The sequence below is a fragment of the Homo sapiens genome, chromosome 20, assembly GCF_000001405.40.
Source record: "Homo sapiens chromosome 20, GRCh38.p14 Primary Assembly".
Lineage (NCBI taxonomy): Eukaryota > Metazoa > Chordata > Mammalia > Primates > Hominidae > Homo > Homo sapiens.
In genome coordinates, this window is record NC_000020.11 from 22,532,350 (window position 1) to 22,534,664 (window position 2,315).

General features: G+C 44.8%; 1 annotated feature.

Moving 5' to 3' along the window:
• Nucleotides 1,662–1,956: a silencer, noted in NCBI's record as "tiled region #10094; K562 Repressive non-DNase unmatched - State 24:Quies". NCBI's record gives its function as "represses a minimal TATA promoter and a strong SV40 promoter by Sharpr-MPRA in K562 cells {active_cell/tissue: K562}" and the evidence as "EXISTENCE:reporter gene assay evidence [ECO:0000049][PMID:27701403]".

Consider the following 2,315-nt stretch of genomic DNA (forward strand, 5'->3'; position numbering starts at 1 on the left):
ATGGGTTTAATGATGCCCACCTTATCATGGGAGGATTGGAGTACATAAGCAAAGTCCCTGGCAAAGGGTTGGCAGTCAGTGGATATTCATTTCTTCTTTATATCAAACAATGAAAGCAGGGGAATCATTCTAGAAAACCAAAGCTAAAATGCACAAAAATCTTAGGAGATAATCTTTGACCCTACATTCTGTAGCCTCTTCTGAGAAGCAGCTGTGATATGGGTTCAGATATTTAGTCTGCAACTTACTAGCTGTGTGAACTGGCAGGAGTTAGTTGATCTCTCTGAAAAATGATGCAGGAATAAAATCCGATAATCTAGTGTGTGCCATCAGTTACTTCTTGCTGTGTAACACATCACTCCACCTGTCAGTGGCTTGATTAACATACATTTACGTCACAGTTTCTGTTGCAAAGCAGGCCTGCTTAGCCAGATCCTCTGCTCCATGGTGTCTCATATCAAGATGATGGCCAAGGGTCTCCTCTGAAAGCTCAACTGGGAAACAATCTGTACCCAAGCTCACTGACGTGGTTGTTGGTAAGAGTCAGTTTCTCAAGGCCTCAGTCCCTTACAGGCTATGAACTGGAAACTGCCCCAGTCTCTTCCTGCCCTCTCTTCTCTAACATGGCAGCTTGCTTCATTAAACAGTGAGAGAGAGAGATAGAGAGACAGAGAGAGAATGCACTAGCAAGACTGAAGTCTTGTGTAACCTAATCATAGACACCCCCTCAATGTTCCCATATTCTCTTTTTCAGAAGTAAGTTACTCAAAAGGAGGATACTACCCACGGCTGTGAATACCAGGAGGTAGAGATCATTGGTGGCCATTTTGCAGACTGCATGTCACATAGTGAGAAAAATTTTTGCATGGTAAGTCCCTATAGAGTGGCTGGCTATTCTTATTCTTTTGAAAATCCTATCAAAATTGGTTAGTCAGTAGTACTTGCTAATTTATCACCCTAGAGAGACAAAACATCCAGGAAAATGCCAGTGGGGGAAGAAAAAACAGAAAACAGAGTAGGGGACTTGTCATTGGTGGCCTGTGGTGTACAACTTCTTGAGACAATCTTAGACTGTGACTGCAGGATCCCAGAAGGCCCTTGCTCCACAGCTTTTTACCCTCAAGGAGCCATTCTTAGAATTACACCACTAGATATCCTACTTTTGAAAGGCAAAGATAATAACAGCTCATTGTTTTAAGCATTTGACACATATTAACCCATTTAATCCTCAGAGCTGCCTTGGGAGTTAAGCTCTATTATTCCTATTTACAGATGAGGAAACTGAGGCATAAAAAGATCACATGACTAGTGAGCAGTAAAATACACATTCCAATCCAGGCTATGTGATCCCCCAACTTCATCTTAACCTTTAGAGTTTATGGTCTTTCAAGATTTGGAATGCATCGTCTCTGGTCCCTCAATGTGAATTGATTAAGGAAACCAGACTCCAGACACGCCCTAGAGATTTGGGGTGGGAGAAGAATGAGAAGTAAGAGCAGCAGAGCAAAACCCTGATGGCTTTGCCTAGAGGCACTTGCATCCATTCTGCATGTCTGTGGATGGCAGCTGGCCAAGGCTAGCTGGGTTCCTGATAAAAATTATAGGGCGTCAGGGTCCCGGTTACCCCTTTGTGCGCTCAGAAGAATTTCTTGGCCTCTCTGAACCTCACAGTAGAAAAGGAAGTACTTAAAGCTACAAAATCCCTAGGAGCCTTTCTTATGATCCAGAGTCCACAAATAACTGGGGCTGGGTGACCTTCAGAGGTTGAGCTGGGGAGTGAGCTGTGGCCCAGTCTGTAGAGATGACAATGGACCTTTTCACAGACTGAGGGCGTGTGTACTTGCAGCTCACAGCCAGGACACCTGGCAGCATGCATGCCTGCTCCTGAGCTTAGACAAGCCTGGGCCCTGCCACGTGAGCTTTTAAGGACACGATAAGATAAAATGTCTTCACATGGCATTTGAGGGACCTTGGTTGTCTCCTTACTTTCTCCACCCTTACAGAGAGAGGCAATTTACAGTGCAGAAAACAGAAAAAACTTAAGCTTTTTTTCCAAATGAGTCCTGGTGGTCACAACTCATAGACTATGAAAGCTGTCCCAGCTCTCTCCAGCCCAGTTCTGAAGACAGTGATGATGGTCTTCGTTAACGGGTGAGTTTAGCAAGAGACAGAATTCTGTACACGTGGCTGAAGAAATAACTTGGATGAAGAGCTGAGAATCCAAGACCCCAGCCCAGATTACCCACTTCATGGCAGAGGAGAGGCCGGCAGAGGAAGCCACCAGGGCTTCTGCCATTGTTGCCTTCACTTTGGGG